Source organism: Homo sapiens, chromosome 20 (assembly GCF_000001405.40).
Source record: "Homo sapiens chromosome 20, GRCh38.p14 Primary Assembly".
NCBI lineage: Eukaryota > Metazoa > Chordata > Mammalia > Primates > Hominidae > Homo > Homo sapiens.
In genome coordinates, this window is record NC_000020.11 from 8,442,257 (window position 1) to 8,455,672 (window position 13,416).

At 39.9% G+C, this 13,416-nt stretch overlaps 1 protein-coding gene and 1 long non-coding RNA gene across 3 annotated transcripts in view; both read left to right on the forward strand.

The window, feature by feature from the left end:
* PLCB1 (phospholipase C beta 1) overlaps positions 1-13,416 on the forward strand; it is a 752,635-nt gene that overhangs the window by 309,991 nt on the left and 429,228 nt on the right. The window lies entirely within an intron of this gene.
* The window catches only part of LOC124900459 (uncharacterized), a 112,238-nt gene that overhangs the window by 41,989 nt on the left and 56,833 nt on the right, over positions 1-13,416 (forward strand). Inside the window, exon 2 of the long non-coding RNA XR_007067518.1 lies at positions 1-13,416. This exon is cut by the window's left edge and continues 19,915 nt beyond it; it is cut by the window's right edge and continues 56,833 nt beyond it. This is a non-coding gene — a long non-coding RNA (uncharacterized LOC124900459).

Below are 13,416 nucleotides of genomic sequence, written 5' to 3' on the forward strand. Positions count from 1 at the left end.
TATTTTCTCACAGTTCTGAATACTGAGATGTTCAAGGGGCCGGCAGGTTTCGTTGTCTGTGAGGGTGGCTCTCTGCTTCCAAGATGGTTCCTCTAGAGGAGGGAACACTTTGTCCTGGCATGGTGGGATGTGGGCTCAAACCCTGTATGAAGCCTCTTTTATAAAGGCCTTAATCTCATCTTTGAGAGAGGAGCCCTCATAACCTAATCAGCTCTTAAAGGTTCTACCTCTTAATACTATCACAATGGCCATTAAGTTTCAGCATCTGAATTTTAGAGGGGACATACTGAGGCAATAACAAACATTATGTTTTTGAGAAGGTCCCATTTTTTCTTAATTTAAAGCTCAGTCCAATGAATATCTGTAACAAAGGGTTAGTGAAATCCCAGTCCAAAATTATCATCTTTTGAAGGTAATTCAGATGGACATTTCTTGAGTTATCAAAATGTATAATATTATCTATTCAAATCTTTTCTGTTTTATTAATTAAACTCAGGAGATTAAAGTACCTTGCCATGACATTGAAACTAGTAAAACAGCCAAATATGAAAACCAAGCATGCTGGGAAAATCCTAATAATGATGGAATGGCTACCAAGTCTTTGTTATTCCCTTGGATAGTAGCACACCTTGGAAAGACTTAGCAAAGCCCAGATTTCAGGAAAGTAGAAAAATTGCATTTAATGCTTTGATTATAAAATTATCTTGTGAGTTTCTTGTTTTTTTTTTTGTTTTTTTTTTTGAGATGGAGTCTCGTCCTGTTGCCCAGGCTGGAGTGCAGTGGCACGATCTCAGCTCACTGCAATATCTGCATCCTGGGTTCAAGCGATTCTCCTGCCTCACCTTCTCGAGTAGCTGGGACCACAGGTGTGCGTCACCACACCCAGCTAATATTTTTGTATTTTTAGTAGAGATGGGGTTTCACCATATTGGTCAGACTGGTCTTGAACTCCTGACCTCGTGATCTGCCCGCCTTGGCCTCCTGAAGTGCTGGGATTACAGGCGTGAGCCACAGCACCTGGCCATCTCGTGAGTTTTAATGCAACTGGCAGTTGACTGTGGGTCCTAACCATGGGCTCTGTTTTTCTCAAATGTAAAATTATTGGCCGATGTGGAAGACCATCCATCCTGTAGGGTGAGGCCCTGCTTTTTATAAGGTAATGGAAGAGTATGCTATTCAATATCAAGTTAAAAATAACTTTTACCAGTGTGGAAAAGAAATGAGCAGGGAAACCTATTGACCATTAGGCTTAGTTTTCTGTTTGGTGCCCCAACTTCACTCCATCTGCTATCTTTTGGATCTCCAGGGTTTTCTTTCCTACTCCTTACCCCAGAAAGCTGCATTATTCTGGCTCCCTGAGCAACTGACTTCAGTCTGAGTTTCACCAGTGGGAGGTGCTGTCACGCTATTGGAGGGCAGAAGAAGAGCAGCATGAAATGGTTATTTGGTTATTCCCTATTCCCTTCTGCTTCTGCATCACATTTCTGGCAATGGCTGAATATCTCCCTAACTACAGCTCCCAACAGGCAACCTCTCTTTCATGGTTCCAGCTCTTACCAGTTACAATAATTCTATTTCTATCACAACCCCTTCTTCCACCCCTACCCCAATTCTTCCAGTCCAGGGGTCACAATAGCACCCCACAGTGGCTATTTCCTGGGTTTACCAACTTCTTTTGTTGGTTCTTCCAGCCTGCTTACACCTCCGACTTTTTTCCTCATTAAAGTCTCTTCACTTAATTTATCTGATTTGAATTTGTCTCTTTACTGAGATCTTGACCAATACCTGATTTTTTTTTTGTACTTTAAGTTCTAGGGTACATGTGCACAATGTGCAGGTTTGTTACATATGTATACATGTGCCATGTTGGTGTGCTGCACCCATTAACTCGTCATTTACATTAGGTATATCCCCTAATGCTATCCCTCCCACCTCCCCCCACCACATGACAGGCCGCGGTGTGTGATGTTCCCCACCCTGTCTCCAAGTTTTCTCATTGTTCAATTCCCACCTATGAGTGAGAACATGCAGTGTTTGGTTTTTTGTCCTTGCGATAGTTTGCTGACAATGATGGTTTCTAGAAACCATAGCTTCATCCATGTCCCTACAAAGGACATGAACTCATCCTTTTTTATGGCTGCATAGTATTCCATGGTGTATATGTGCCACATTTTCTTAATCCAGTCTATCATTGTTGGACATTTGGGTTGGTTCCAAGTCTTTGCAATTGTGAATAGTGCCGCAATAAACATACGTGTGCATGTGTCTTTATAGCAGCATGATTTATAGTCCTTTGGGTATATACCCAGTAATGGGATGCCTGGGTCAAATGGTATTTCTAGTTCTAGATCCTTGAGGAATAGCCACACTGTCTTCCACAATGGTTGAACTAGTTTACAGTCCCACCAACAATGTAAAAGTGTTCCTGTTTCTCCACATCCTCTCCAGTACCTGTTGTTTCCTGACTTTTTAATGATCACCATTCTAACTAGTGTGAGATGGTATCTCATTGTGGTTTTGATTTGCATTTCTCTGATGGCCAGTGATGATGAGCATTTTTTCATGTGTCTGTTGGCTGCATAAATGTCTTCTTTTGAGAAGTGTCTGTTTATATCCTTTGCCTACTTTTTGATGAGGTTTTTTTTTTTCTTGTAAATTTGTTTGAGTTCTTTGTAGATTCTGGATATTAGCCCTTTGTCAGATAAGTAGATTGCAAAAATTTTCTCCCATTCTGTAGGTTGTCTGTTCACTCTGATGATAGTTTCTGTTGCTGTGCAGAAGTTCTTTAGTTTAATTAGATCCCATTTGTCAATTTTGGCTTTTGTTGCCATTGCTTTTGGTGTTTTAGACATGAAGTCCTTGCCCATGCCTATGTCCTAAATGGTATTGCCTAGGTTTTCTTCTAGGGTTTTTATGGTTTTAGGTCTGACATTTAAGTCTTTGATCCATCTTGAATTGATTTTTGTATAAGTTGTAAGGAAGGGATCCAGTTTCAGCTGTCTACATATGGCTAGCAGGTTTTCCCAGCACCGTTTATTAAATAGGGAATCTTTTCCCCATTTCTTGTTTTTGTCAGGTTTGTCAAAGATCAGATGGTTGTAAATGTGTGGTATTATTTCTGAGGGCTCTGTTCTGTTCCATTGGTCTATATCTCTGTTTTGGTACCAGTACCATGCTGTTTTGGTTACTGTAGCCTTGTAGTATAGTTTGAAGTCAGGTAGCATGATGCCTCCAGCTTTGTTCTTTTGACTTAGGATTGACTTGGCAATGCGGGCTCTTTTTTGGTTCCATATGAACTTTAAAGTAGTTTTTTCCAATTCTGTGAAGAAAGTCATTGGTAGCTTTATGGGGATGGCATTGAATCTATAAATTACCTTGAGCAGTATGGCCATTTTCATGGTATTGATTCTTCCTATCCATGAGCATGGAATGTTCTTCCATTTGTTTGTGTCCTCTTTTATTTCGTTGAGCAGTGGTTTCTAGTTCTCCTTGAAGAGGTCCTTCACATCCCTTGTAAGTTGGATTCCTAGGTATTTTATTCTCTTTGAAGCAATTGTGAATGGGAGTTCACTCATGATTTGGCTCTCTGTTTGTCTGTTATTGGTGTATAAGAATGCTTGTGATTTTTGCACGTTGATTTTGTATCCTGAGACTTTGCTGAAGTTGCTTACCGAAAAAAGTCCAGGACCAGACGGATTCACAGCCGAATTCTACCAGAGGTACAAGGAGGAGCTGGTCCCATTCCTTCTGAAATTATTCCAATCAACAGAAAAAGAGGGAATCCTCCCTAACTCATTTTATGAGGCCAGCATCATCCTGATACCAAAGCCTGGCAGAGACACAGCAAAAAAAAGAGAATTTTAGACCACTATCCCTGATGAACATCGATGCAAAAATCCTCAATAAAATGCTGGCAAACCGAATCCAGCAGCACATCAAAAAGCTTATACACCATGATCAAGTGGGCTTCATCCCTGGGATGCAAGGCTGGTTCAACATATGCAAATCAATAAACGTAATCCAGCATATAAACAGAACCAAAGACAAAAACCACATGACTATCTCAATAGATGCAGAAAAGCCCTTTGACACAATTCAACAACCCTTTGTTTTAAAAACTCTCAATAAATTAGGTATTGATGGGATGTATCTCAAAATAATAAGAGCTATTTATGACAAACCCACAGCCAATATCATACTGAATGGGCAAAAACTGAAAGCATTCCCTTTGAAAACTGGCACAAGACAGGGATGCCCTCTCTCACCACTCCTATTCAACATAGTGTTGGAAGTTCTGGCCAGGGCTATCAGGCAGGAGAAAGAAATAAAGGGTATTCAATTAGGAAAAGAGGGAGTCAAATCGTCCCTGTTTGCAGATGACAATTGTATATTTCGAAAACCCAATCGTCTCAGACCAATACCTGATTTTTAAGCCTAAGGTTAGGAACACATAGGAAAAATCAAGGTGAGTATTAAAAATTAGTAGAAGGAGACCGTTTAGTGTACTACTCAGATTAGTAGCTCTTTGTACAGTCATCCTCAATAAATGGGTGCTTCTGATGACTTACTTTTTTTTCTTTCTTTCTGATAAATTGTTCTTATTAAGGAATTCTATTAAGTCATCATGGAAGATGTTATCTTCTAATTTTACTTGATGCACAATTTGGAAATATAATTAGTTTACTGAATAATATCATCAAGGTTCAAAGAGGACTCGGTGATCTGGAATTCTAGATACGTAGAATAGAAATTCTGAAATTGCATGCAAATCTTAAGTATGTGTGTATAAATATACATATACTGAGTGATTTGCTTTGCAACATGGTGATTTGGCTGTTTAGAAATATTAATGATATTTGAACATCATTAAATGAAGTCAAAGGCCAGCTATACCCTGCAACAGTCAGACCACATATGGTGACATGCTGCCACTTAGGGGCACTATGATAAACAGGTAAACAACCAAGAGAGCTGTGTGGCAACTAGTTTCAAGCTCAGGGTTTTAAGAGCTAGATTTAGGGGCCTGGGTTTTACTCACATCTTCCTCCGGTGCTAGCTGTGAAATTTGGACAAGCAGCATATCTTTTGCTCATCTCTGAAATGGGAGACCTAAGACCATGGGAATACTCATTAAGTGAATGTACATGAAGTGATGCCTGACACATTCCAAAAACTCTCCAGACAATACCTAGAATACTACTAATAATTACCAGTGTGTAATTGGTCTGGAAACCACATGTTGTGAGTAACAGTCTAGGGAACTGGGAACAATTCAGTTTATGGACAAACATACTGAGGGATAGAGTAGGCCGCTTTCAAAATGTGAAAGATTGTCCAAGAGGAGAGAAAATTGTTCTAGGAAGGCAGGAGACTCTCAGTGAAAGGTACAGAGGAATATAATTTGGTCCAGTAGCAGAAATACCTTTCTAACTCCTAGAGCTGTCCAACAAGGAAATAGGCTGATAAGCAATGTCCTTTTGAGCCATTAGTCAACAAAGGCTGGATAATCACTATGCGGAATATGATTTTAGCAGGAACTCCTGCAATAAGGGCTGAAGTGGGGGAGGGCAAGGACAGGGGAAAAGGTCACAACATGACCCTTAATTTCCCTTTGCACTCTACAATTTCAGACTCTATGTGTGTGTTGGACAGAATATCAGGAAAATGGCTGCCACCTTTGTTTGCATTCATGTTGTCCTCTTTCAAATCAGGCCCTTGGCAAAGGTCCTGAGACACATTGTCCAAACTTGCTATTGACAATCCTACATATATTTTCCTGTTCAGATGCTTTGGCCTGCCAGAGGCTCACTGGGTGTCATACAATAGTCTTCTGTGTCACCAGCCTTGCAGATTTCTTCAAGAAACTGTTTGTTGAGTAGGCGCTTACTAGCTGGAACAAATCCCTTTGCAAAGGTGTACCTTCCTTTTCTTGAACAGAATGAAAAATGTGTTGAGCAGGAAAAGAAACTTCACAGTATTTGTGTTTTTCTTTTGGCCCTTTCTGCTAGGTATCCTCACTCTAATTGAGCAGGCTCTGGAAACCTGAAACGCACATCAGTCTTGTGCCTTTTTCTGTTTCTTCCACTAGCAGTTGATAATTATAGCTTTTCGTAGATACTCAGCACATTCCATGTTTTTGATGGGAGCAGAGCCTTTGTATGGCAAAATTGCTGATATACTTTTAACTAAATCTGTAGATGTGTTATGTTTAGAAGGCAGCGGAAGAAGCCTGAGCTGGCAGAATAATTGCTGTGTTAGGGCGCCACTGAAGACAAATAGTGTGCCCAAGATTGTGAAAATCCTTTCTTATAAAAACTTTTTCCAACACCAGGGTTCCTTTTGGGACAGAAATAACAATATCTGTTCTTTCTGAGAAAACTTGGAGAGAATGTCAATGTGATATCTCAGGGATAATTCATTTTTGAAAAAGGAGAATCCTTTCTACTGAATACTTTTTATAAGGGACATTTTTAGCTTTGGAACTGCATTTCTCTTCCCTGTCTGGATGTTAGCTGTTTGTATGAGTGGTGAGGACAAAAAGTAAAGGATTGCATCCCACAAAAACCAACCTCAATAGTTTAAGGTCACACAGATGGCTTTGAGGTAAGAAAGGAAATTACATCTCCTGAAAGGCAATGCACAGGCTATTGAATAGGATGAACTTGGAGGTCTCTTCTAGTCCTGAGATTTTATGATTCCATGATCACAGAAACTACTAGTGAATGTGATACTTCATATCTCATCCATTGGCTATTTCAAATGGCAACTAAAGTGAGAAGGGAAATCATTTATTCTTAAATGCAAATTCAAACTAACAGAAATTGGATATATTTCTTGGTGTTCATGAGCATTGCCAGTAGTAAAATATATGTTTAGAGATAAGAAAATAAAAACAACTTATACTTATTGAATGCTTATGACATACCAGGTCCTATATCAAGCATTTTATATGCATCATAGATTCTATTATTGTCAACATCTTATGGAGGAGGTAACTGAGGATTGTAGATATTCTGAAGCAGTGTCGTGAAGCTGACACTAAACACTCTTGGCTACCATAGCATCCTGCTTCTCTGTAGCAGACGCTGGTGATTCATCACACCACATTTCTTTGGCACTCTGGATTTCAGCACAAGTGCTGTAGACAGTTAATTGCCTATCGCTAGTGTCCCGCTTCCTTCAAGTGCATGTGGGAAAGAAGGAGAGGGAAGAGAATCTGAAAGACCGTTCAGCAGGCAGGTGCAACTCAGAATTAAGAGAGAATAATATACTCTACCTAAGGACAGCCCTCAACCAGTGGAATGATGGGGATGGTTTCCGGGTAAACTCCGACCCTCATTGTCCCGAAGGAGAACACTTCCGGGGCACATACTACAATCGTTTCTTAGAGTGTCCCTAACAGGGGTGAGCCCCCCACTCAATACACAGTGGTAAGAAACTCATTCCTGCGTTCTTCTAATACATCTTCCTTCCCTATCTCATTGTCTATGCTCCTCATTTCTGCATCCTAGGATCAGCTCCCAAATAAACTTCCTGCCCTCAAGTCCTTGACCAAAGTGCTGTTTTGGGGAGGAGTCAAAGTAAGATTTTTTAAAGAACACACACGTTACTGCTATGTAGTTACAGGCATAATCTTACTAATGGACTATAATGTCCATCATACCATGGGGTTGATGGTCATAAAACCTAGGCGTATTTGGGAATATTTCTGTGACATTAAATCTCTAACTATATAATAGAAGCTAATGGTAGTATATTGAAATTTGTTCTTTGGAATTCAATTATTCAATAAAATAAGAGAAATCTCTACCACACATTAGCATGACCCCGTTGAAGTCTTCAGAAAGCCTAATGATTTAGCATGACTATTTCAAGATCATTTTTCCTAGGCTTCCTCCCATCCTACTCCTGGAAGTGCTCTGCTATTAATTTCCTTTGTGGTCTTAGATAAGTCTCAGACTGCAGGTGAAATGATTAAATTCTCATTTCTCTTGAAAAATTTCACACGAAGTCTCTTTTCATCTATTTCAATACCTGATATTTAATTTGAATGGAGTATAACAACTACATTGATATAGGGAAAGTTTTATTGAATGAACAAAGCCATCACATAAATTTTTCTTTCATTTTTTTTTTTGTCAGTCTCTGAAATTAGTGAATAGGTAGAGACATCCATCAGTTGGATCATTCTTAGGTAACATTTTGTTTATAAGAACAGGGCAGTGCTGGAATGTGGATTTACCCACAATTCTCACGTGAGATTTCTACCATTGTACTGCTGTTTTCTTCTTGTCTCTGATTTTTTTCAATCTCTGCTCCTCAAACATCCAGGTAGCTTTGATCAGTGCTTCAAGCAGAGTACTGGAGTAAGTAATATATTTTTCTATAACCTTGTAATGAAAGCATGATCTCTTCTTAAGGACTCTGTACTTAGCGAGGCATCTATCGGTGATTGTATACTTTGTAGATTTTATTTGGGTGGTTCTACCATCCTCCATTTATTACATATGACAAACTCAGTAAGATTAGGCTAAGAAGAACTGGTTCCTAGAAGCTAATGTTACCCTGGACAGTTAACAAAATTTTTGTGAAAGTACTGTAGAGTTAGAAAACACACCAAATAGTACAATTCTCCACACTGGATTTCTTCAATTTACTGTTAAGTTGTAAAAAGTAGGCTTGTACCTGATGAAAACATTTGGCAAATTTGTATGCAGTACCAGTGAAAAATATGCACAAATTGGCAAAATAAGGCAAGATTCTAACTGCTGTCCATGTTCAAGAACTATAACAGTAGTGGGGTGAATGCTAAATCTTTACAATAATATATAGATTGTACATTTGTTTTTCATGGATTATAAGACATTTTTCATTTTTCAGCCACACGGTATTGATTCATCACTTCCATATTCAGCTATGCCTATATATGTCCATGTCACAAAGTTATTTTCCCATTAAAAATTTACTCTGTCCTTGCAATAAGAAACACAAAAGAGTTAGTTCAAAGGAAAAAATAACAATTTGCATTTGGATAAAAATGGTAAATAGATTTATTTTTGACTCATCCTGTGAATCCTTTTCAGATTGCCTTCTTTATTTTTTATTTTTTGAGACAGAGTCTCACTCTGTCACCCAGGCTGAAGTGCAGTGGCACGATCTTGGCTCACTGCAACCTCTGCCTCCTGGGTTCAAGCGATTCTCATGCCTCCGCCTACTGAGTAGCTGGGACCACAGGTGGGCGTCACCACACCCAGCTAATTTTTTTGTATTTTTAGTAGGTATGGGGTTTCACCATGTTGGACAGGCTGGTCTCAAACTCTTGACCTCAAGTGACCCACCCACCTCGGCCTCCCAAAGTGCTGGGATTACGGGTGTGAGCCACTGCACCCGGCCCAGATTGCCTTCTTCAGGTAAGTATTTTAAACCTCTTATGAGCTGTTTCCTTCCTTCATCCCTTCGTTTCCTCCTTTTTCCTCCCCTCCTAGGACTCTCTTTCTCTTTTCATTTGCCTCTATTTTCCTTCATTCTTTTCTTCCTTTGTTCATTCCTTCCTCCCTTCTTTCTTCCATCTCCCTCTTCTTCTTTCTTCCATCTCCCTCTTCTTCTTTCTTCCCTCTCTTCCTTTTTTCCTCCTTATTTCTTGCTTTCCTTCTTTATTTCACTCATCTAAAAAAAACCTGTAGTATAGATCTTTGAGGAAATTATTTTAGTTTTGACATTCATTGCACAGTTGTCTGTAACCCAGTTAGGGAATTCTTTCCTATTTTTAAAATGAAAATAGCTGAGAGATTTGTGAGGAAAATTTGAAACAATGTTGATTCTGAATGTTTTTAAAAATTTCTAATATTTATGAAACAACTGTATCTCAGATGAGCTTCAATTTGCAAGGCATCATTCCATTTTCATTTTTAATTCTCTGTTCCAATGCCTCTGCTAAGAAATAAGCATTTTCTCATAGGAAGAGATTATTCCTTTTAACTTTTTTTCAATTTTAATTTTTATTCAGCCTCTTACCTTTTTGCTAAAACCAAAAGTTCAAAAGAAAGGTGATCAGGACACTCCCAGGAATTTTTTAGCCATGTGAGAATATATGGTGAAATGATTCAAGTAGATGCAACATGGTCTACTGGAAAAGCACTGAGATTTTGAGGAGAAAACTTAGCTCTGCCATTAGTTAATTGTCATCAAGGTCTTCCTATGAAAATTGTAGTTCAATTTTCAAACATTTATTGTTTTTCTCCAAAGTGCTAGGCATATGCTTTTGTGCTGGAGATGAAAGATGAATAACATGTAGGTGCTGTTTTTGAAGAACATCACTGAAGAGAGAGTGAGCTAAAACAAATAATGATTTGTGTGCTAGAATAGAGCCAGGTTGTACAGAAAGGTTCTATTAATAGCGCTCAGTGATCCCTGCAAAAGAAGCATTTGATTCTGTCCAAAGAGATGAGTACAGAAAAAGCCAAAGAGAAGAAATGATATTTGATTTGGGATTTTGAAGGATGAATAGGATTTAACCAGATGAATACATTGGAGGAAAGATATTCTGGTAGGAACACTGTGAGTAAACAACTGTAGGACTTTGGGAGGGATTGTGAGTAGAGTGTGCAAGATGGAAAGTACGTTGGCATTATAATGATTCATCATCAACAACACCATGTTTGCTTGCCTGGTTGAATGTCCCTGAGTACACCAGCTGACATGGATGCCAGAATTCCAGCTATGAGAATTTCTCCTCTATTTATTTTAAACGTAGGTACAAATCAGTTCTCTTTGAACCCTGCCTGACTTTGCATCATGGTTTCTTCTCCTTATCTACTTCTTTGTGAATGTGATAACTCAACTTTGGAATTGTAACTTTGTTTCTGGCATCGCATCCTTCCTAACATGCTCATTCCAAAAACTACTCTTTCACTGCACTACTTAGGCAAGAGGCCCCCGGCCATGAGTCTCAGAGTTCTCCTCCTCATATCACCAAAGTGTCCCATGGGTTCCAGTGGAAGGTGAGCAATAACAGTATCTCCTGCAGCCACCTCACAGAACTGTTGTGAAGGATAGAGATGATAACAGATGGACCATGTATTCACTTTGGAGGTAAATAGACTTGGATTTAAATCCTGAGTCTGACTGAGTAAGCCAAGTCAAGTTATTTAACTTCTATGGTCCTCGATATTCTCAGTTTCCTATGATGGGGCTAATAGTACCTACTTGGTAGAATTATTGTGAGAATTTTCATTCAATGAATGTGGACTGAACACTTGCTATATGTGGGCTACTATTCTAGGGCCTGGGGATGTAAAAGAGAAACAAGTCCTTGCCTCCTTGAATTCAGACTGTAAATAAACAATTAACTACATAATATAATATCAGAAAGAGTTTGGTGGCTGGAAGAATAGCAAAGGGTAAGGGGAGAGAGAGAGAGGAACAGAGTGAGAGTAGTGATATTGCAGAGGGTGTTCAAGGAAAGCATCTTACCTGCATGAAATAAAGGGATAAACCATGTAGAAATCTGGAAGAAGAGTATTTCAGGCAGATGGAAGAGCATATACAAAACCTCTGTTATGGACTAAGTTGTATCCCTCTAAAAGGCATGTGCTGAAGCCCTCACCCACAGTGTAACTGTATTTGAAAATAAGGCCTCTAAAGAAGTAATTAAGGTTAAATGAGGTCATAAGGGTGGGCTCTGATCCCATGGACTGATGTCCTTTTAAGAAGAGGAAGACATCAGAGCTCACTCACTCTGTGCACACACAGAGGAAAGGCCATGTGAGGAGACAGGGGAAGGTGGCCGTCTACACGTCAGGAAGGGAGGCCTCACCAGTAACCACCCCTGAAGGCACCTTGGTCTTGGTCTTCTCACCTCCAGAATTGTGAGGAAATAAATTCCTGTTGTTTAAGCCATCCAGTCTGTGGTGTTTTGTTATGGCAGCCCGAGCTCACTAATAATACAGGCTCTGAGGCTGAAATGTCCCAGGCATGTGACTGCAGCAGAGTCAGTGATGGGAGGCAGTGCTGGGAAATGCCTTGGAGAAGTAGCCAGGATCCAGGACACCTTTGCCATGATGAGGAGTCAGGACTTGATGCCAAGGGAGATGGCTGTCTTTGAAGCATGTGCTTCAAGGAGTAAAATGACATGTGTTTTTAAAAGATCAAACTGGCTGCTATGTGGGGAATTGACTCTGGGCCAGAGACCATGGTCTTGAGAGCAGTTAGGTAGACAACAGGAGCCCCTAGTGGAGTTGGTGAGAAGTGGTTGGGATACATTTTGGAGATGAAGCTGACTGAATTTGGTAATGGATTGGATGACGAATGGAAAGAAACGAGTCAGGATGACTCACTGGTTATTGGGCTGAGCATCCGAGTGAGTGATGGTGTTTTTGTGGAGACTGCCACTCTTACGTCTGTAATGCTATTCTGCAGACACCAGTGTGGCTCACTCTCTCCCGTCTTGCATGTCTTTCCTAAATGTCACCTTCTGATTCAGACCTTCCCTGGGCAGCCTTTTAAAAATTGCATTGTTTCTCTGTTTCCCTGTCATGCCTTTCTTTTCTCTATAGTATTTATCCCCATCTAACATATTATATATTTTACTTACCAATTTTATTTTCTTCTAAAATGTATATTTCATGCATTTTTATCTGTTTTGTTCACTGCTTTTTAGTTCACATGTCTTGAACGTGGTCTGGTATACAACAGGTGATCCATATTTCTTGAATATAAGGATGGATGAATGAATGAATGAATGGGTGAAACCTGGGGAAGAGGAATCAAGAACTTTGTTAAAATGAGTACTAGTTGGCCGGGCATGGTGGCTCACATCTGTAATCCTAGCACTTTGGGAAGCCGAGGTGGGCAGATCAAGGTCAGGAGTTCAAGACAAGCCTGACCAACATGGAGGAACACCGTCTCTACTAAAAATACAAAATTAGCTGGGCGTGGTGGCACACACCTGTAATCCCAGCTACTTGGGAGGCTGAGGGATGAGAATGGCTTGAACCTGGGAGGTGGAGGTTGCGATGAGCCGAGATTGTGCCATTGCACTCCAGCCTGGGCAACAGGGGAGAAACTCCATCACAAAAAAAAAAAAAAAATACTGGTCAATTGGAAGTATCTGGAAGGTAATTGCTATACCATTAAATGAGATATATATAACAATTATTATTACAAGTATTCTTCCTCTTTTTTTTTTTTTTTTTTTTTTTTTGGAGACGGAGTCTCGCTCTGTCACCCAGGCTAGAGTGCAGTCTTGCAATCTCGGCTCACTGCAAGCTCCGCCTCCTGGGTTCACGCCATTCTCCTGCCTCAGCCTCCCGAGTAGCTGGGACTACCGGCACCCGCCACCACGCCCGGCTAATTTTTTGTATTTTTAGTAGAGACAGGGTTTCACCATGTTAAGTATTCTTCCTCTTCTAAGTGTGC